This window comes from Homo sapiens, chromosome 6 (assembly GCF_000001405.40).
Source record: "Homo sapiens chromosome 6, GRCh38.p14 Primary Assembly".
Lineage (NCBI taxonomy): Eukaryota > Metazoa > Chordata > Mammalia > Primates > Hominidae > Homo > Homo sapiens.
The window spans coordinates 126,006,025-126,029,006 of record NC_000006.12 but is presented as its reverse complement, the minus strand read 5'-3'; the positions used below and the strand labels follow the sequence as shown (position 1 = coordinate 126,029,006).

At 35.2% G+C, this 22,982-nt stretch overlaps 1 protein-coding gene across 68 annotated transcripts in view; it reads right to left on the bottom strand.

Annotated features, from left to right (window-relative positions):
• TRMT11 (tRNA methyltransferase 11) overlaps positions 1–22,982 on the bottom strand; it is a 285,804-nt gene that overhangs the window by 243,337 nt on the left and 19,485 nt on the right. For 47 of the 68 annotated variants that reach the window (XR_007059327.1, XR_007059304.1, XR_007059310.1 and 44 more), the window contains 5 exons: positions 20,535–20,615; positions 17,590–17,754; positions 16,155–16,236; positions 15,906–16,037; positions 7,727–7,847 (listed from right to left, as the gene is read on the bottom strand). Coding sequence is in view for 19 of the 68 variants with exons in the window: in NM_001350581.2 (NP_001337510.1) it covers positions 7,727–7,847; positions 15,906–16,037; positions 16,155–16,236; positions 17,590–17,754; positions 20,535–20,615 (581 nt within the window). In the remaining 49 variants the exon portion in view is untranslated. Of the gene's footprint in view, positions 1–7,726; positions 7,848–15,905; positions 16,038–16,154; positions 16,237–17,589; positions 18,083–18,367; positions 18,630–19,572; positions 19,673–20,261; positions 20,351–20,534; positions 20,616–22,052; positions 22,397–22,982 lie in introns of all 68 variants that reach the window. The other 21 variants (NR_146797.2, NM_001350597.2, NM_001350595.2 and 18 more) reach the window with 13 other exon arrangements.

Below are 22,982 nucleotides of genomic sequence, written 5' to 3'. Positions count from 1 at the left end.
TTGGAATCCCTGAGTTATATTTATATTTTCAACTGACCTATGCCTAAGATTCTTATAACACTAGTACTTTAAAAACTGTTTTACTGGCATAGCTTAAAAACATGCTGGAACCATAAAGACATGTGTTCTCTCAGGCTTCAGAGAACTGCTTATTTCTGCAAATAAAATAGTTATTTCTAAACAGAACCATAAGATGCAGGATCCAGATATCTTAAATGCCTGCTTTCCTGGAGCTAGTGGGGAAGAGTTTTGCTTTTTCATGGTTTATCAAAAACAATAGTTTAAAACTATTATGATAGCATTAACTTTAAAAATCCCGTTTGACAAAATCATTTTATTTGCCTAAGTATAAAAGAAAAATGATCCTCCACGATGTAAACTCAAGAAAAAGTACCACAAACAGCAAAAGAAAATTCATTTGGAACTAAGTAGACCAAATGAACCTGAAAACTGAATTCAGGCAGCATGATATGCAGCATCACCAGGCTACTGTCTGCTTCTCCGAGTCTTTTTTAAGTACCTCAAGTCAAGTCATAATTTATAAATAATGCAAATTGGTTTCTGACTTGCTATGCAAAATAATTTTTAAAAAGACTCTCTCTCTCTCAGATACACACATGAACTTTGATGGTGATAAATACTGGATTGTATGAAGACCTAGAATGAGTTTATGTCCAATACGTCTTTAGTGTCACCATGCCTTGTTTTTCTCACCAATAAATGAGGTTATTACCTATATCTATCTTACCCTTTGTTTTAAATGCTTCATATCTAATCTCTAATCTTTTATACCTCTAATCAAAAGGGAACCCACAGTTTTGGGAAGAGACAGGCAAAAATCACAATATATTTCAGAAAGAAAAGTCAATCAGAAGAGACTCACTTTAATTCAAATAGCTGTGAAAGAAAAACACAACTAACAACATTAATCCTGAGAAAGGATAATGTCTAATGGAAATAGGCATCAGCATTATGCCAGCAAAACACCAGAGTTTATGATCAGCAACACTACTATCATTCTAATATGTAAACTATCATAAAGACTAATTTCTTCCACTTCAAGCCATCTATAAGTCATTTTCTGAAGTGACCTCAGTGTCTATTATCTCCTTTGTTTAAAAAAATACTGTTATAAAGTTAATGGTTCTTTTGTACTTCATAGCTTCAAAATCTTTCAGTCCTTTAGTTAAAACCCTCAGTTTTGGCCACACTCCATTATGATTAATGCATTCATCAGCTTCATGTTACTGGACTCTTTCATTCAATCCAAAATAAAAAATTACATAAACTGTCATCAACTGCCACTGTGACCTTCCAGTATTCCTCTTTTAAATAATCTAAACTATATGATGTAGCTATAAAAAAAAAGACAACTGATTTATACATTAAACTTTAGTCTGAATTAATAGCCATATAATACCTTGAATTAAACGTACCCATACTTCAAAACTTCTCAAACCACTAGGAATATAAGGTAGCATGTGAAGTAAATAAACCACAAAATAAATAGGGCACATGATGGCCCACTTAATGTAATAGTAATTTAAAATAATTTTTTATTTTTAATCATGTATCTATTATAGAGTAGACTATAAAAGTTGCATGAATTTTTTGAAAAGATTTCAAGGAAATCTTGAAAAGGCTACCCTGGGTGCTCTTTTCATCTGTTCAAGTAGATTCTATGGAGAAGGTTGAGAGAGAATTGCTTCAGGTGACCGTCATTGAAAACGTAACTATTATACCTCAGTCTGTTGTGGACAACTCTGGAGATCAGCCTTTTATCCTATACATTTCATATAAGAAAAATGTTTTATAGAAGTAACCACTGTGACTACAACCACATATAGCAGCATCAACTACACGTTGTGTTAAGTGGGACAGCAAGATCTAGTAAAACAAACGGCCGGGCGCGGTGGCTCATGCCTGTAATCCCAGCACTTTGGGAGGCCGAGGCTGGCGGATCACGAGGTCAGGAAATCGAGACCATCCTGGCTAACATGGTGAAACCCCGTCTCTACTAAAAATACAAAAACGAAATTAGCCGGACGGGGTGGCAGGCGCCTGTAGTCCCAGCTACTTGGGAGGCTGAGGCAGGAGAATGGCGTGAACCCGGGAGGCGGAGCTTGCAGTGCGCTGAGATCCCGCCACTGCACTCCATCCTGGGCAACAGAGCAAGACTCCGTCTCAAAAAAAAAAAAAAAAAACCCAAAAAACCACATTCTACCATGGCCCCAAAAGTAACACTAGCTATACAGCAGGACAAGGAAAGACTATCTTTAAAAAAAACTAGTAATATGTCACTCAAGAATATTTACCTTTTAGAGCCGGGCGCGATGGCTCGCGCCTATAATCCCAGCACTTTGGGAGGCTGAGGTGGGCGGATCACGAGGTTAGGAGATCGAGACCATCCTGGCCAACATGGTGAAACCCCGTCTCTACTAAAAATACAAAAATTAGCTGGGCATGGTGGCACACGCCTGTAGTCCCAGCTACTCGGGAGGCTGAGGCAAGGAGAATCACTTGAACCCAGAAGGCGGAGGTTGCAGTGAGTCAAGATCACGCCACTGCACTCCAGCCTGGCAACAGAGTAAGACTCTATCTCAAAAAAAAAATTAAAAAAAAACATAAAAAGAATATTTACCTTTTAATCTTGGCACATTCTAAAGGTAGAAATATGCTTCGGTAGAGAGGCAGCAAGATGTAGAAAAAAACGACACAGAATTTCAAGTACAAAGAGGAGTTTTGGTCTCAACTCTTCCACTTACTATTTAAGCAAAATAGGATAGTCCCAGGCTACTCTTCCTCATTTCTAAAATGGGGAAATTAATAAAGTCAAATGGATAGGGAAGTTTTATAAACAATAATGCATTATAAAAGTGTTACTCATCATTCACTTGGCTTTCAGAATATATCAACAAGGAATAATGAAAAAACCTGGCCCTTCTTATCAGGCAATTTCAAAATTTTAATACAGTTGTCAAGAATTTTCTTCTTTACTACATATGTGCCATAAGCAAGTCTGAAAACTATGACCAATAATCCAAAACTTCAACATTTTATAAAATATCAATATTGCTTAGACAATTTTTGTTGTAACTTACATTTACACTTTTAAAAGAGGGATAGGGAGAATACTTTATAACAGCATACCAAGTGGGCCAAAAGTTATACTGAAGTTAAACCTAACAAGTGACAAATCAAAAATGAAGAGACACAGTATACAAAAGTGTAAAAATCTAAAACTAACAGTCTTCCATTGCCAAAATCAACAATGCTGAACAAGCCCAAGAATAATTTGTTAGAGGTGTGTGAGGACTGTTTGACAATTTTATGTCACCACTTGCATTATAAAGGATTGAGATCTTGCTGCAATTATATACATTCCTCTCCACACAAACAAAAGGTAGAAATGAAGTAATTAATTAAAAACCAAACATGATTAATTTAACATGACAAAGTATTTTTGGTTACAGTAAACATCATACTAGTAAAAATTCACTAGTTAAATTTGATCTTATATAGGGAAGACCATTTCAAAAAATTACTTGAGGCTTTTCCTTGTTGTTGTTTTTTTAAATCAATTGGAAAAGAACAAAATAAAATGATAAAAAGTAAACCTGACAAAAATGAGCACTGCCTTTACAGGTTTAAAAATACCAAAGGTGAGTACCCTCATTTATCATTTTAATATAGGACAAAAATTCTCAAAAGCCCAGTTTTCCTTCAGTCTCAAATAAATTTGCTTAGGGAAATATTATAAATCTGGGAAAAAATACCAGACTTTCTTAAACAAATAAAACTCAGTGGAAAGCAAGTATAAAAATTAGTCCACAATGGGTCTTAATTTTTAAATTTTTCCATTAAAATAGAATGGCTGATTTATTATATGGCTCCATGAATTATTAAAGAGTCTCCACAGCTTTGTCCTCCTAATTCTTTGGAATACTATTTATGTAGGCCACACAATAAAGAATGCTAATGCCATTTACTTTACTTTCTAATATCACGACTTAAAACTGCAAAATCTACAGGTAATGTTTGTTTTTTACATGTATTACTCATGTGCCTGGCACATAAATGTTAGTTACTATTATATTACTAACTCAAATGATTCTATTAAATGCTATGATTTCTAAGAGCTGTAATGTTACCATCTGAATTATCAAAATGCCTTACTTCCTTTAAAATACCAAAAGACAAACATATACATGAGAAGTAAGTGACTAGGAGAGGAGACAAAAAAGCATCCTCTAACGTACAACAGACTCCTCTTATTCAATGTGATGGACACTGGTGATGGTTAGTGTAATGGAATGAATTCTGTTCTACCCTAAAATTCATATGTTAAGGCCCTAACCCTCAATATGACTGTATTTGAAGACAGGGCCTTTAAGGAGGTAATTATGCATAAATGAAATCTTAAAGGCAGGGCCTTAATCCAATAGGACTGTCATTCTTTTAAGAAAAGGAAGACAGTCGGGTAAGGCTGGAGGATGGCTTGAGCCCAGGAGTTTGAGGTTACAGTGAGGTGTAATAGTGCCACTGTATTCTAGCCTGGGTGATAGAGTGAGACACTGTCTAAATCCAAAACAAAAAGAAGAGAAAGAGACACCAGAAGTGCAGATGCACAAAGGAAAGGCCTTGTGAAGACAGCAAGACAGTGGACACCTGAAAGAAGCCAAGTCTGCTGACACCTTACTCTTGAATTTCCAGCCTCCAGAACTGTAAGAAAATAAATTTCTGTTAAGTTGCCCAGTCTGTGGTATTTGGTTATGCCAGCCCAAGCACACCAATACAATTAGTTAACTGGATAAGGTAAATAAAAGCAAGAAGAAATTAAAATGCTTTGTAAACATATTAAACTTATTTTAACTTAAAAAACAATATTCAGTTGTATATATTCATACAGAATCAAGACCTATAAAGAATTCTAGTTTTGGCTTCTATAAAATGATGCAAGAGCTTACAAAGCAATCAGGGTGCAAAAACCTAGATTGCAATTACTTTTTTCAAAGCCATTTCCAATTCAAGTCTTTTTTTTAAGCAACTCACTTTGTTCTTTCTAAAGCATTAACTTAGTTTTTATTGAAATTACAACTGTATTCGTACACAAATATTTCACTGGTCTAACTAGTATTTAAGTAGATTACACAATTACTGTAACAAATATAACTGGCATAAACAGCTCTGAGAACACCACAAGAGACTCTTGTTAAACAGATAATTCAGCTGATAGAAGCACAAGTACTGTATATAAATATAGTAGAGATCAAGCGACTCACCAGCTGAAAGTATTCAACATACAACATATTATTGCATCAGGCAGTGTGGTTTTTATTTTTTTTGTTGTTGTTTGTTTTGAGACAGAGTCTCACTCTGTCACCAGGCTGGAGTGCAGTGATGCAATCTCGGCTCACTGCAACCTCCACCTCCCCGGTTCAAGTGATTCTCCTGCCTCAGCCCCCCAAGTCACTGGGACTACAGGTGTGTGCCACCATGCCCAGGTAATTTTTGTATTTTTAGTAGAGATGGGGTTTCACTACATTGGCCAGGCACGTCTCGAACTCCTGGCCTCATGATCTGCCCACCTCGGCCTCCCAAAGTGCTGGGATTACAGGCGTGAGCCACCGCGCCTGGCCCAGGCAGTGTGTTTTAGAGAAGGAATGGCCAGTATTGGTTAATCAACGGGGTTTGAAATGGACGTTAAATAAGAGGGCTTCTACTGTACACCCAAATAAATGTTAGTCATTTAAAATTTTCATTCTAGAAGGCTGTAATGATGCCAAACAATTTGGAAACTATAGAATTTCTGAATCTGCAATGTTTTTAATGTTTAATGGTTTAATGGCAAATCATCATCCTTGAAATAGAATTTGATTTCCAAAAACGACTTTAAATAATTAGTCTGGTATAAAATAAGAGCAGCAAAGTCCAGTAAAATCATTTTAAGAAAAGCAAGGTGTTACTATAAAACAAAATAACTGATTAATAAAAGAATACTTCTTTAAAGGCAAATCTTAAAGGTAAAGTTTCAAGAACATGCTGAAAAATTATGACAGAAATAGAATGAGTACAAAGATTCCACTCCAAGGATGTCATTTGAATATAAACTTCTAGTATTTTTGTTTTAAAAATGACTGCCATACATTTTCATTTTAATTACACCACATATACCTATACATCCATATGTTTATATGTATGTACACGTATACCTATATATACATATAGTAGATACCAATCAACTACTTATATAGATGTATAGGTTAGCTTTTTGAAATGCCCTGATATTGGAGCCTGATTACAGAAGATAGTTTATGTCACACTGAAAATTCTGAACATTTTTCAGTAATAAAAAAAGATTTTGCATAAGGTAGTGACATAATGAATGCAGTGTTTTTAGGAAGATTCATTCAACATATAAACTAGCGGTATGAAGGAGATCATTTAGGAGACTGTGAACATAAACCAGGTGTATGGTAATAAGGGTCTAAATTAGAGACAGCAAATGAAAATAAAAAGGACGAAAACAATGATGTAAAATAATATATGCAAAAGGCACTGTACAAATATTAGTTTTCATTACTATGAAATAATCCGTAAGATGGGAACTATATAAAAACAAATCAAATGCAGGCTAGAGATGGGTATGAAAAATCTTCAGTCTGGACACGGTGGCTCACGCCTGTAATCCCAACACTTTGGGAGGCCAAGACAGGCAGATCAAGAAGTCAGGAGTTCAAGACCAGCCTGGCCAACATGGTAAAACCCCGTCTCTATTAAAAATACAAAAAAAAAATCAGCCAGGCATAGTGGCAGGCACCTGTAATCCCAGCTACTCAGGAGGCTGAGGCAGGAGAATCACTTGAAACCAGAAGGTGGAGGTTGCAGTGAGCCGAGATTGCCTGGGTGAAAGAGGGAAACTCCGTCTCAAAAAAAAAAAAAAAAAAAAAAAAAACTAAGGAAAAATCTTCAGACACTACCACCTTTCTTCTGCTTACCTTAAAGGTCCAAAGCAAGAATGGGGGTCATCCAAGTTTCCAGTGAATTTAAGAGAGCTTTGGTTGTCAATCGACAGAAGTACAGCCCAAAGAGCTTTTGTAGATTTAATTAAGCTCCATTATGAGGCACTATTCATGTCAACTCTCGTCTGGGCATGAAATAACAAACGTTTCATTCTTTCTTAAGCTTAAATGAATTTTGTATGTAAGAGAGTATGAATTTTATAAGAATGTAATGAATGTAAGAGAGTAAGAATTTTGTATGTAAGAGAGAGACAAAGAGAGAATGTGTTGGGCCCTAACAAACTGGGGACATTTACTTTCTCTCTTTATTTATAAAGCAACATATTCTCTTCATTACAGTCTGCAATCAAGTAGGTTCTGCTTTTGGAGAAAAATGGTAACTAGGACATTGCTAATTAGATAGCAGTTGTTTAATAATGCTGTTTTATAACTGAGTTAGCAACAAGGATATCAAATAAAGCCTGAGAAGTGAGGGTCAACGTCTATTTGAACTCTACTCAATGTCTATGTCTATATCCAACTCCTACCCTTCAATCCCAACTGGATGCCACAAATCTCTTCAACTTCTGCCTCTTCCTAAATTGATCTGTAATTTTTAAAATATCAAGGAATAACATTTCCAAACTCTATCACAGGAAAACTATTTAGAAACAACTACTTTTGATTCTTTCAGAATTTATCCCAAAAATACTGAAGCAATTTACCTCAAATTTCTTCACCTTTTCCATTGTGATCAAGCGCCTTGATGTGTGACTGGAAAGCTTCTGCTCGCAGTTGCTAACGAGTTCCAGGCAAGGGTGCCAAGGCACCATCTCTTCAGTGTATCTGAAGAAAGAACAGCTGACTGTTAGGAACACTCACATGTGTGGGCCACAAAGAATCATGGGGATCGTCCAGTGTAGTGTGGGATGTTCTTCCACTACATGCTCTTTTTCCCCACATATGCTAACTGTCCACATGATCCATAAACTATCTATAAGCAAAGTAGCTTAATTTTATCATATCCCAAAAATGCAGTTAAATTTTTTACCTGTAGAATAAGAGAGAGAGAAATATTGTAAGTACATTTTGTTGAAGAATGCCAAACATTTAAACCACAAAAGTACAAGATGATTCCACCCTACAGAATTCCACAAGAGTAGACAAAAATACACTCAACAACATCCCTTGACATTCATGAAGGACTGATTCATCTGTAGATTTTTATAAATTCCCGAAGTGTATAATCCACTACAGCATATACTTTCCCCTCTAAAATGAAGTGCCCGTAAAATTTTAATAACGTCTTGTTAAAATTTAAACGTCTAATTTAAAAACATCTCTATTACGTTTGTAAATACAGAACTAAAGTTATTTGTAAAATTATTCAAATAAACTACAACTAAAATAAACACTACAGATTACATCAGTCTTCTGGTCATATGAACCAGGAAACAAAATGAAAATATGCCAATGAGTGGTGGAGACTGCTACTGTACAGCACATGTCCTACATGGATGAAGATGATGACAATGTCTAGAAAGCAGGAGTCAATAGCAGGAGTTCAGAATCTGGCATCTGACAGGTTGTTAGCATCAATCTTGGCCAAAGAAATAGGTAACAGAGGTGGGAGAAACAGCTATGGAACAGAATGTGAAAGAACAGCAAGGGAGGGGACTCACTAGGCATGGGTACTTTTAAGAACACTGTGTTGGCCAGTATTTATTTTTCCTTTGCAATTTTTTACACCTTTTTGGATGGTGTCTGCACACATTTATTATACAGGTAATCTTAAAGGTCTGCTCCAAAATAGCAAAGGTGCTGATTAGTTTTTCATGTAAAGGACCACAATCTCAGCTACCTGTTTTAATGCATCAACACTGTTTTCACCACCACTCTTTCATGAACTTTTCTAGGTCCCACTGACCTTCAACGAGCTCTCCCTATTACCTCAACCATATGCTCAAACCCATCATCACCCACTTCCCAAGCATCATTCATAATGCACTTCACTTTATTATCAGTGGAAAGAATTATCTTGAAGTCATTCTCTGACTTCTTCCTAGAGCTTTCTAACAAGTAATGAGCACTTCAGATTTCACCTCATCTAGTAATTCTTTAATGTTCACTACATAGCCAGAAATGTTGTACTTCTTATAACAATGACATCAAATTTTGAATCTTCATGCAATGCATTTATGACATGAAAGAATAAATTCTTTTTTTACTTTTTCAGAGAACGGATCTTGCTCTGTTGCCGAGGCTGGAGTACAGTAGAAAGAATATATTCTACACCATGGTTGAGACTAAAATAAAAAGTGCTAACAGAGAGAAGATATAGCCTTAACCTTAAGCTTGCAAACCGTAGGATCTATAGATGCTGGAAACAGTTTGTGTCAAACTAAGTAATATACTAATTTTTAAAGGAAAAAAATTTTTTACTTCCTGGTGGACTGACTTAAAGTATTTTTTTATTAAGGTGTCACTTAAATATGCACAAGCATAAATTAGATATAAACTCTTCATGTTTAGATCCCTAATATAACTATAAAACCCAAAAAGCAAATTTATCAATCAAATCCAAGGTACCAACACAATTTTAATTAACATCTATGACATGAATGACGCTAAACTGCTAAACTAAGTTGCTGCATTTGGTTTTAACAGCAGAAAAACATATTTGCATGTTTCATATTATCTTTTTTGACTCGATCTTAATTCATTTTTAACAATTAATCTATTATATTAATGAGCCAATTAATTTAACAATACACTCCCAAAGCACCATACTAAAAAGATTAAAAAATAGCAGTTAAAAAATTCTTCAGCTGGGCGTGGTGGCTCACGCCTGTAATCCTAGTGCTTTGGGAGGCCAAGGCAGGTGGATCACCTGAGGTCAGGAGTTCAAGACCAGCCTGGCCAAAATGGTGAAACCCCGTCTCTGCTAAAAATACAAAATTAGCCAGGCATGGTGGCACATGCCTGTAATCCCAGCTACTTGGGAGGCTGAGGCAGGAGAATCGCTCAAACCTGGGAGGTGGAGGTTGTAGTGAGCCGAGATCACGCCACTGCACTCCAGCCTGGGCAACAAGAGCGAAATTGTCTCAAAAAAAAAATAAAATAAAGTAAAATAAAATTATTCACTGTATATTTACCAATATATTTCATTCCAATGGAATGTTCGCAAGTGGTTAAGTAGAAGGCATAAATCTATATTTTGCCTGGACCATTATGACAGTACTAAATCCCATCTTAATTCCCTGTTTTTATTAATATCCCCCTACAATCCAAGTTATCTATTTAAAAACTAAATCATCCTTAATAGGCAAATCCACAGAGATTGACAAGTGGTTGACAGAGATAGGGGGGTGGTAACTACTAATGTCTGTGGGGTACTTCTCGGGGGTGAGGAAAATGTTCTGGAATTACCTAGTGGTGATGGTCACACAACTTTGTGGATAAACTAAAAACCATGAAGTTGTATACGTTAAGGGGGTGAATTTCATGGTATACAAATTCTATGTCAATTAAAAAAAAATAATTGTGTACATAGGCCCCTAGATTTTCCACGAATCAATTTTGACTGTCACTCATTTTCCTGTGAATCTTCCTGCTTCAACTACTTCCCAAATGTCACTAGAATTTCAGCTCCCATTTGAGAAACAGATTTTGCATTGATTGAACATTTACTAAAAACAGCTTAAAAATCACTTTTTCCTCTTTCCTAAGTAAGAGATGAAAAACATGTTCTCTTCACTCATTATAGGCACTGCAAAGTTCACCTTACTACAATCAAAATTTATTTCCAAGTCCTACTTTGGGGCACATTATTAGCTTCTTTCTCACCTTTTTAAAAATTTTTAATTAATGAATTATAATTGTACATATTTGGGGGGTACAATGTGCTATTTTAATATAAGTATGTCATCATGTTATCACTAACACTAGCAGCTGGATTTCTATAAAGGTCATCATTTATAAAGAAACACTGTTTCTAATCACTTCAAGAGTTATCTGTGTACAATGAAATTAGATAAAGCTAAATGGATATATGGAGCCTGGGCAAACAGCTACACTCACTCAGTAGCACACTGGCTCCTATGACATCAAACACCTGGATTGTATGTGTACACACTGGATTGATGCCCTGTACACATGATTGCAACACATAATCTGGGTCATTTGTAAGTAGTCAAAATTGTAAATAATAAACTCACAAATACCAACAGTCTACAGTAATTTTATGTGTTAAGTCTCTATAAGCAGTAAAAACAAGCTATTATGAGAGCACAGAGGATGGACTGATTAATTCTGCTGAGAAGTATCTGAGAAAGTGTCACAGAAGTGGTGACAATTAAGCCAGGCCTAGAAAAATGACTAGATTTTTACCAGTTGAGGAAAGAAGAAAGGGCATCTCAAACAATGGGGACAGAATAAACAAAAGTGAAAAGACATAAAATGCACAGAGTATCTTGATGCTGGCAAAAAGTCTGATATACTGGAGTGGGGAGAGTGTAGACTAGAAGGAAAAAGAACAGCAGAAGTTTCTGAGTAGCAGTTTCTTTACTGCAATTTAAATTGTCAAACAGTGAGAAAATCCTTTTCAATCATTAGCTCTCACAATTTTCCATATACAACTAAGCTTTTACGCAGTATTTTGCTTTTATGTCTTATACTTTTCAATCAATCCTGGGTTAAAATAATACCTGAACTTGGTTATAATGTGTAACTTGAATCATATAACAGGGTTTGGCTGAGAGTAAATTAATTCATTAATAGAACTAATAGCCTACATTCACCACACCAAAAATACAAAAGACTTAAAATTAAGCTACACTAAGGTACAATTGTAAATTGAATTCCTTTTTATTCCCGGTCCAATATAAAGCTACATTTTCAATATAACATAGTTAAACTATTCTAAACTGTTTAATTCAAATGAATATTATTTCAAACTTTTACAGATGACTTTAGACTCAAATTCATCTTGATACTGTGTTATTTTCAAAACAGTAAAGAATTTTCAAAAGAGTAAAGACCTTGAATATGAAAACAGTTCATGTTTCTAGCATAAACTCAAGACAAATTTAGTTCACTATTAATAATTAATAAGATCGCTTTAGGCTTAAAGAGAGAAGACACAATTGAGGTCTAATAATGAACATCAGGGGATCTGAAAATAACCCTCTCCAGGGGCCAAAAACTCAGGGAAATAAATGCCACCATTGTCTTCCCACATGTGTTAGACACGTAACTAGAAGAAATCTATCCATTGATAAAACATCTAAGACAAAAAAAAAAAAATCCCTAAAACATGTCTCCCTTTTCCCTTTCTAAAACATCACTTTGGTTATATGTATTTGGAAATCTTCCCTCATCTAAAATTACTAAAATAGAGAAGTCATTGAAGAAATATCCAGTGGCCACTTTTTAAAGTCTTTAGAAATACATTCAGTTTAAAGAACCTCCAATATTACTTTTTATAAAGGAATAAAAGAACTCCAAAATAAATTCTCAACCACATATGATTTTGATTATAATTAAATAATAAACTGCAAAACAGTGAACAGTCAGATATGCTAAAAAGGAAGGACTTACATAAAAAACTACTGAGGATATTTCAAAAGGACAGAAGAGCCAGCTCAAACAAACTCCCACTGGTCAAATCTGGGACAATTTGAGCAACAAAATACTGCTACTAATAAATTACAACCCAATGAATAATATAGGAATCCATGACTCCATACCACTATAAATAAATTAATGAAGTAAATGGGGCAGAAAGAAAAGCTCTTTCTTACAGAATACCAACTTACAAATGCAAAAGAAATGATGGAAAAAAGAATCACTTGGCAACCACCTCAGAAGTGGCTGTCAACAATGGAGTCATTAATCTGAGTAGTGGTTTGATGAAAAACAAGATATTAGTGTAATCTTATTTCCCCATAAAATACAAATCAAAGAAGAAAATGATGATTCAGAGAGGAGAAATCTGACAGAGAAGAGCCCGACCAGACAATCAAAGTTAACATTACCAGGAGGAGTGGCTTTGTGTGCCATATGATGTGCTGCAAAGATCATGTTTGTGGTATTCCTACCAAGAAAGCATGACCTCATTCTGGTCATAGAAGAAACATCAGATGGCCCCGGTTGAGAGTCAACACTCAGAATATAAGCCATGTCCTCTACAAAACTTCCAAGGACACAAGAGATATGGAAAGACAGAAAATATTCCAGACCACAGAAGACCAAAAAAGGATAGGATAGATGATTACAGCACAGTTTCCTACATGGATTGCAATTGGTAATATTTGAATGGTGTCTCTGATCTGCATGGAATAGTGTTATAAATGCTAACTTCCAGACTTGCAGGGTGGATCATGGTTAGATAGGAATGTTCTTGTTTCTGAAAAATACAATGACATATATAGAGGTAAGAGGGCACCATACCAACAACTTCTCAAATGGTTTCAAAAAGATTAGTGATAGGCTGGGCGCAGTGGCTCACACCTGTAATCCCAGCACCGAGGCAAGTGGATCAAGAGGTGAGGAGATCAAGATCATCCTGGCTAACATGGTAAAACCCTGTCTCTACTAAAAAAATACAAAAAATTAGCTGGGCGCAGTGGCAGACACCTGTAGTCCCAGCTACTTGGGAGGCTGAGGCAGGAGAAATGGCGTGAACCCGGAAGGCGGAGCTTGCAGTGAGCCAAGATCATGCCACTGCACTCCAGCCTGGGTGACAGAGTGAGACTCCATCTCAAAAAAAAGATTAGTGATAATAGATATGTGCAGGAGTCGGGGGGAGGTAGATATATGTTAATATTGGAAAAATCTGGATAAGGGTAGAGATGGGAGTTTTCTGTATTGTATTTGAAACTTCTGTAAGTTTGAAATTACTTCACAGTATTTTTTTTTTTTTATTTTAGCCCTACAACTTGAATTAAACAAAAAGCAAGTAGCTTGTTGCTGGAATTCAGTTTGGCTAAGGCAGCAACCCTTTTTACAAAGACATGAACAAATATACTCTTATCTGAAAATACTAATAAAACCTCACCTATCATTTCATGTACTAAGTATACGAGATCTGGCAGGATGTCGAATTAAGTGAATACAGCACTGGGAATAAGGAAACAAATTAGCTAGCTGGCTTTTAACTTTAGATAGGTCATTTCACTCCTTGGAATTAAGTTTCCTCATTTCTAAAAGAGGTTAAATGAGATGATCATTAGCAACAAAAAAAAACTCAGTGTTAAGGGATCTGGGTACAAATGTATTCTCTCTTATCAGCTGATAACGAAATGCATAACTAGAGTTAGGCCATGGTAATTTTAAATACAGCATTTGTAAAACAAACAACAAGAAATAGCTGAGGGTCCCAAAGCCTGAGGGACTACCAATCTTTGTAGAAAAAGACAGTTACCACTGTATAATTATGTATAATAAATATAGGAATTGGCCGGACACGGTGGCTCACGCCTATAATCCCAACACTTTGGGAGGCTGAGGTGGGTGGATCATGAGGTCAGGAGTTCAAGACCAGCCTGGCCAACACAGTGAAACCTCGTCTCTATTAAAAATACAAAACTTAGCGGGCCGTGGTGGCGTGCACCTGTAATCCCAGCTACTCGGAAGGCTGAGGTGGGAGTATCGCTTGAACCCAGGAGGTGGAGGTTTCAGTGAGCTGAGATGGTGCCACTGTACTCCAGTCTGGGTGACAAAGTGAAACCCTGTCTCAAAAAATAAATAAAATAAAATAAAATACAAATACAAATATAGGAATTAAAATAATTGTATTAAAAATATATCTATGTCAGATTGAAGAAATAACCTACTGAGCTTGGCAATACCTTTCAAATTTAAACATTCCATCTTGTTCAAACGTCTTGTCTTTTACTGTTAATATATATAGCTTTATATTTAATAGTTACTGAATAACAAAACTCAAAGCAATAATGCTGAACATAATCAGGGCTTTAAATATATGCACAGCTCTTATTTTGGTCTTAGCTTTTGATTTATTGTACTTAAGATAATCATAATAGCCAATATATATTAAAGCTAGCATTAGAAGGTAGCAGAAGCGTGAATCCTTTAGCTAAGCTGTTGAAAATTACATCTATAGACTGGCAAAAGAGCTATAAAACAGCTGTGATCCATAGGTACTAAGCTAAGTGTAGGGTACAATAAGGGCTGGCAAAACTTTTTCTATAAAGGGCCAGAGAGTAAATATTTTAGATTTTGTGGGTCACATACTGTATGTTTCTGTCACACATTATTTTGTGTGGATATTTTTTAACAACACTTCAAAAATCTAAAAACTAGTCCTAGCTCAAGAACCTTATAAACACAGGCTGAGGACCATATCTGGCCCATAGGCCGTGGTTTGCCAACCCCTGATATAAAATAACAAGGTCAAAACAATTCAGTTGATGAAAAGAAGGAGGCTGAGTACAGTGGCTCACTCTTATAATCACAACACTTCAGGAGGCTGAGGCAGGTAGACTGCTTGAGCCTAGAAGTTTAAAACCAACCTGGGCAACATAGTGAGACTCCACCTCTACAAAAAATAAAAATAAAAAATAGCTGAGCATGGTGACGCATGCCTGTAGTCCCAGCTACTCAGGAGGTTGAGGTGGGAGGATCACTTGAGCCTGGGAGGTCAACGCTGCAGTGAGTCACGATTGCACTACTGCACTCCAGCCTGGGTGACAGAGCAAGACCTTGTCTCAAAAAACTAAATAAATAAAAAGACTATTTTATACACATTTGAAGGCAAACAAAGGCTATTACAAATTAAATATAAAGATGCACCAAATGCAAGAAGAGATAAAGAGAAAATTATACTAGATACGCAAACATTGTAAGAAAAATGAAATTAAAAATAAAATTAAGATTACATACTCTGGCGTATACACCGGTAACCAATAGACTAGTCTTCCACCTAAAACGAGGGTCTCAGCTGCGAAGTTTAACAGGTCAAGAAACATATCACTCAGATGATAACTCAAGGAAACAGGAACATGGCTTTCTGGACTACACAAAGAAAAGAAAATTTCAAAATCAGTGAAAAATTTTAAGAGTGCTAAGTTAACGGGGAAGCCACATGCCTCTTCTCAAGGTAGTAACACATCATATTTAAATTTCACTTACCATTTTTCCCATTTTTCTATCCCCTTTGGTATCTCCTTCTGTGAACCTGTTCTTCTTGTAGATTCTCTGATACCATATGGAGCTAGACAGAAAACAAAGGTAACACAGATAGTCAAAAGTCACCAAATCATGGATCAAGGGCAAACAGCCATGCTGCCTTCAAATGTGACACCCTGAGAAGAACACAACATCACCAATGCACAAATCCAACTGAAAATGTACAACATAAAGACTTGGGAGAGGAGCAACTGTCTTCTTAAAATATGTCAATGTCATAAAAGTCATTGAGAAAAGCTGTGGAAGTGTTACAAATTAAAGGAGGCCTAAAAGATATCATTACGAAATGCAATACCTGACTCTAGAGTAGATCCTGTCCTAGAGGGAGAATATATGCCATAAAAGCTATTACTGAGTCAGTTGACAAAACTGAATGGCAAACTGTAGATGAAAGTATTTTATCAATTTACTGAACTTGATAACTGTATTTTTGCTAAGAGACTATCTTTATTCTTAGTAAATACACACTGAAGTATAGGAGTAAAAGGCCACAATGTATACCACTTACTCTCAAGTTGATCGGAAAAAAAAAATGTATTTTATATAAGTAAACACAGAGTGGGAGAGCAAATAATAAAGCAAACTGTTAATTTAAAAAAAACTAAATTTTCATAAAGTATATTCACACTGAAACCATAAGGCCTTGATAATTTTTCTTTTGTTACATTACATTTGACAAAATCTAAGTTAGTAAAGAACTAAAGAGAGCTGAGATAGAAGGGCTGAACTTTGCCACTTTTTACAGATTTACTGTCAAATACTATAGAAAAGGCAGATCTATTCTTAGATAGGCTGCCTAAAAAACTCACGACCTCATGAGGCATGGGAAAATAAATTTTCATGCACATTCCTGAAGCTCAGTAGGTTCACAGGCCCAGTGGTTCCACAGAACCCCAAATTTCTTGTAATGCTAGAAAGGAGATGCCAGTGAAAACAGGCACTACAAAAACACAAATGCTTACACATAGAGAAATGTGTGATATCTGAAACTCTGTTCAAAATTTGACACCATAATTGCAAATGACATGTGAGCTCCAGTTGGTATAATAACCAATTATAGTCAATACAAAAACAAATACTAAATATATGCCTCAAAAAAATAAGCTGAAGGGAAAAACGGGTGACAAGTTAATATAAAAGGATATAACAGGGGATGGCAAGCCAATATATTTGTTTAAAAAAACAAAACAGTAAGCCCTTAACAAGGTAGTTAAGTACCTTCATAACTTTCTCCTTACAAGATGAAGAAGCTGGGGGTAGATGGGAGAAATACTGACAAGTTGGCATTTTGTGCATGTGTTGGTAAATTTTGTACTTTAAATGTAAATGATTTTACAAAACGAATCCTACTCCTACTTTTGTATAAAAATAAACTTACGATCAGTAATGATTGCATCAAAATATGTGCCCTTCCTCCAGGAAGGTTTAGATGCATCTGAAACCAGGACATCAAGGTAATACTTCTCTAAACCATATTGACGAAGATTGGCCCTAATGTTTTCATCTGGTCCTCTCCACTTCTGGTTTTTCCTAGTAGCCTTTCCTGAAGGGAAAGAAAAAGGAAGAGAGAAAGTATTAAACAGAGTATTCTTATTTTCTGTCATTTAGGAAAAGTAATGTTTTAACTCACTGAAACCTACATTTATTCAAAATTTGCTTTCATTTAAAATCTTAATTTTATGTATACAAGTAAATAGTTATTTTAATTTCAACATAACAGTAAAATGTACTGATGTCTAACTTATCTTGTTCTGTCAACTTCCAAGTAAAACTGCCTTAAAACACTCATTCGATATTTTCAAGTACGAAGATTTTTGTAGTAAGATAGAGTTGAAGAGAATATGGTTCCTTTCTTCCAGCAGTAAACAGTCCTGTGTAGAGATAGTATGAATCAGATAAATGAAACAGAAATGAAGAGAGCGAACTTGGGAAATGCCGCAGTTGTGACCATGAGGAAGGGAGGCAAAATGGAGACATTGCTAATGAAAGTTAAAGTGGGAGTGGAAGGAAGGCTAAAGAAGCTCGTAAGTTCCTTGTTTAGGAGACATGATAGTTTAGGATGATGACACCAGTGATTAATATCAGAGAAACCAGGAAGAAAAACAAGCTTAAGAAAAAAGATTAGATTCATTTAAGATATATCAATCTTGATGTACCTTGAGGTACCTGCAGAACTTTCAGAAAAAGATACGCAGTGGGGACATTCAGCAGGTAGTTGAAGGCCAGAATATACAGACTTTGGAGTTATCAGCATATAATCTTATACTGACTCCATAAGGCTGAATAACATTCTTTTTGTTCACTTAGGAGGCAGTTACATGTTTGCTCTATAATTATTCTTATAAAATCAAAAGAAGAACGACATGACTCTGAAAAACATGCAGTGTGACGGAGAAGTGCTCAAAGATAGGTAGACGCCTGGAAAAAAACAATATATAAACATAAATCAAAGAAAATTGCAGGGCATCAAGTAGACTGAGAAGAAACAAAAAAGTAAAAGTACCACCTGCCAAGACCACTGTCAAGGAAACCAAGAGCAGCTGTATGAAGGTCAACACTGTCAAATGCTATAAATCTGTGGCCTTTGTTAGCGTTTTCAACAGAATGATAGGCACAGAAGCTGGAAAATAATGGCCAGAAGAGAGTGAAAGATGAAGAAGAGGAGACAAGAAGTTATACTAGTTTTTCAAGAAGCATTTTGGCAAATGGAAAAGGAAAACAAAGTGGTAGCTAGAGAACCTCTACAGATTTGCCAAAAAAAAAAGTTTTGTACTTTTAAAACAGGAGAAACTTGAGAATATTTTAGGATAAAGTAAGAGTTCAGAACCACAGGAAACAGAGGGTATACCTAACAGTATCTTGGATAAGCTCTAAGGGAACTACCTCAATCAGAATTCTACCCCAGTAGACTGAAGGTTACAACATAAGTTTCCAAACATAACTTTAATAAATAAAAATTCAAGTAAATTATATAAGACAATTTCCTTAAAAGAAATATACTGCTTCTACTAAAAGCAAATTGGAATAATTCTTAGTACTTTTTAAAACAGATTTCAGATAAAGAATATCTTTTTCTTGCTAGCCCATTTATATACACCTAATAAATTATAACTCATTTTCCTAATAAATGTTACTAAATTCTTTACAGTCAAGGTAGGGAAAAAGACAGGTCACCAGTACAAGATATCAAATTACTTCCACAAAAGAAAATAAAGTATAATAAATGCTCACCAATACAATAACTTATACTGGGTGAGGAAAAGGAAAAGAGTATTATAAGGGCTGATCCCAGTTATTATAATGAATACCAACATAAACACAAATAATCTCAAAATCATCAATAAAATGACATTTTCAATACCATTAAGCTATAAGGAAATACTTTTTCAGTTTGATTCAATTCCATCCAATCACACATCATTATTGAAGCTTCTAGAGTTTAAAATATTTTCCATAATTACCTGAAAAGTAAAGCAGATGACTGTTTCAAGTACTCTCAGTTCAAGGCAGAATCTTTAAAGTTACTTTAAAGAGGTTTTGGTCAGTTATAAAATTAGAAACATAAATAGTACCTCAAAGACTAGTTATTAATCCAGTATATAGTCAATGTATGATTAGTGAATAATTTTGGTGATAATCTTTAAATGAGTGGTGATAATCTTAACCAAATATGTTTCATTATCATGTATATTTATTAATTAGTTATAATTAATAAATTATAGGTCTGAACTGGTCACTGGGTTATCACTTTCCTGCACTTCCTTAAAGCCCTCTGAGAGCAGGACTTTTTCTCATTCACCTTCATGTTCCCCCAGGAAATCACTCTGTACACAATGGATCATAAAAGTAGATACCCAATGAAGTCTTATAAAAACAAGTAAAATTATATCACAATTTTGTATTTGAAGATTAAAATAATGCCATATAAAACTACAGTTGACCCTTGAGCAACATGGGGTTGGGGTGCCCACTCCTCACACAGTCAAAAATATGCATATAACTTTTGACTCCCCCAGAACTTAACTACTAACAGCCTACTGTTATACTTACTTTATTCAGTAAAAATAGATTTACTATTCATGAAGTGGAAGTGGATCATCATAAAGGTCTTCATCCTCATCACCTTCATGTTGAGCAGGCTGAGGAGGAAGAGGAAGTGGAGGGATTGGCCTTGATGTTTCAAGAGGGCAGAGATGGAAATAAATCTGAGTATAAGTGGACCTGTGCAATTCAAACTTGTGTTCTTCCAGGGTCAACTGTATGTTTAAAGGTACATTTGGCACCACAGCAATGACTATAATACTGTCTATAATCTCTACTCACCCAAGCCATGAACTGTGTTGTAGTCTATGTCTGTCCCATACACATATGCACCAAAATGAGCACATGCTATCAGCAGGCCACCTGAAAAATCACACAATTTTGACCTGTTAACCAGTAAGTCCCAAACTCCTGTTTGTTCCTATTTAACTTCATCCAGTCTTAGAAACTAGCTGCAGGCAGAGTATCCTGGAATGACATTGGTCGTAACATATTTAGTAAGCCTCAGGACTGAAAAAACAAACCCCTAAGCTATAGTCACTAAACTGGTAACAAAGTAGAGAAATTAATGTATACCCTGGCATCATTATTTTAAACAGCACTATTTTATCTTTTTTTTGGTCAAAATAATGTATATTTAGACATTTTCATCTTATTTTTAGAGCTCTACACAAAAACATTTTGCTCCTTTCTTAAAAATGAGCATATAAGGCTGTTTATACAAAGAGCTGGCAATAAACAGAATAAATTCTGATGACTAGGCTCAATTCCCACTGAAGTCAGAGTTTCAAACAAATAGGGCATAATTACTATGTGAGACATTAGTTCTTACAGAAATTAAAAGGTTAGGACATATTTTAATTTTTGTAAGAATTAACTATTTTAATATAGTTACTCCTGTAACCAATCAAGTAATTATCTCCTGTTTTAAACTGTAAATACAAATTTCTGAGTAACTATTATCAAACATGCACAAAATAATTAATAAACTGTTTTTATTAGTGCTGTGACCAAAGTAAGAACAACTGTCCCAATACAATCTGACCAGACAAAGTAATGTGACAGATGTGACCAGCTCATGCATGAAGAGAAATCTTAATAAAGGTTAAAATAATAATGAAACTCTTTAAAATGAAAGGTAATACTATTTTTAAATTAAGAAAAAATTGTACACAATTAACTGAACTTTTAATAATTGTACTTTTAATTAAATTCACTTTTTTTAATCATTCAAATTAAAATGCTTTTAGTGCTTGGGCAAGTCTTAATTAGCTATACTCTAGGAAGGCCTGCTAGTCAAGCTGAAATCATAAATATATTCTTCAACTACAAAATATGCACAGACTTGGACAAGGGGAAAAAATACTGGGGCTCTTTCCCTTATAACCTTTTGAGATGTAATCTCTGTAACTAAGATGGGTAGTGCCTCTGGAGGGTCAAGATCCATAAATTAATGATGTTCCTTCCATAGCCATTTAAAACATAGTCTGGTAGCATGGAATTAAAAATACTTTGTTCATGAAAATATTATAACTGACTAGTTCTTTTTAGAACCCATGAAGAAGAGAAATGAAAGACTAAAAGTACAGCAGAAACCAAAACCTATGTCCTCTCATACTAACTACAAAAAGCATTTATGTGAGAGGGAAGGTTAAAAAGTCCTCATAATTCTGACTCTGGAAATGGAACATTCCATATTTAGAAAAAGCAGCATAAGTGATGACTTGGAATACTCACAAAGTCACTTCACCCAAATTACAAGGAATTACTACAATTCTGCCAATTAAGGCAGATACTCACCTAGAAGAACTAGTTGTCAAGGGGAACAGAAAAGCTTTCCTGTGCTTCCTTAACAGAACCTTATCCATTTGGTTAGAGTGAGTTTTGAGAAGACCCAATTTACAAGTACACTGCTGAAAGGAGATGAATAATCTGTTAGACTGCACCTGATACTTAACTTCGTGCCCTTTAAGCTTTTATTTTTTTTTAAATAAAATCATAATAAATTAGCTTATCTGAACTGGTCACTGGGTAATCATTGGTAGTCATCTAGTTGTTCTTTTGATTAAATTGAAGCACTTTTTACATTTAGCTATACCTCAGTTGGAGTTTTTTAGGGGATCTTTTTGGTGGAAGAAGGGGTGCTAAAAAAAAAAGGAGAGTGAAGTGTCAAGGAGGCAAGTAACATGACTCACCCATTTCTTTTTGCGTTACCAAAAGTAAAAATACTGCATATGTGATCTATGCTAGCAACTCGGTGTTTCAATTTCTCATTACTTAAATAGTAAGCACTTTAAGGTTAGGGTAGTATCTTACAGGCAAAATAATACAATAAGAATTGAATTTATTCCATGATGTAAAAACTAATTCATGATTTTCATCTTTAAAGAACTAACTGGAAAGCTTTGCAAACGTGGAGAAATGAGAGACTGGGCTTTGGTTTTGCTGAGAGAAAAAAAAGAAAGAAAAATGGCAATATTATTGCATCTATTTTATCTTTTTTAAAAAAAGAATTCTACTTAAATAAATTAAATTAGCAGGCCGAGCAAAAGAATACTGCTAGACAATGGGACTCCTACTAGACGAACCATGGGATTCCAGGAAAAGGGGACTACAAAGGGTAGTGGGAAAAAAATGCGAAAGAGAATATTATATAAACTACAGAGATCCATTATCTCACTCTCCTAACCTTCTCTTTTTCTCCCCATTTTCTCTTCCCAGAACCAGGAC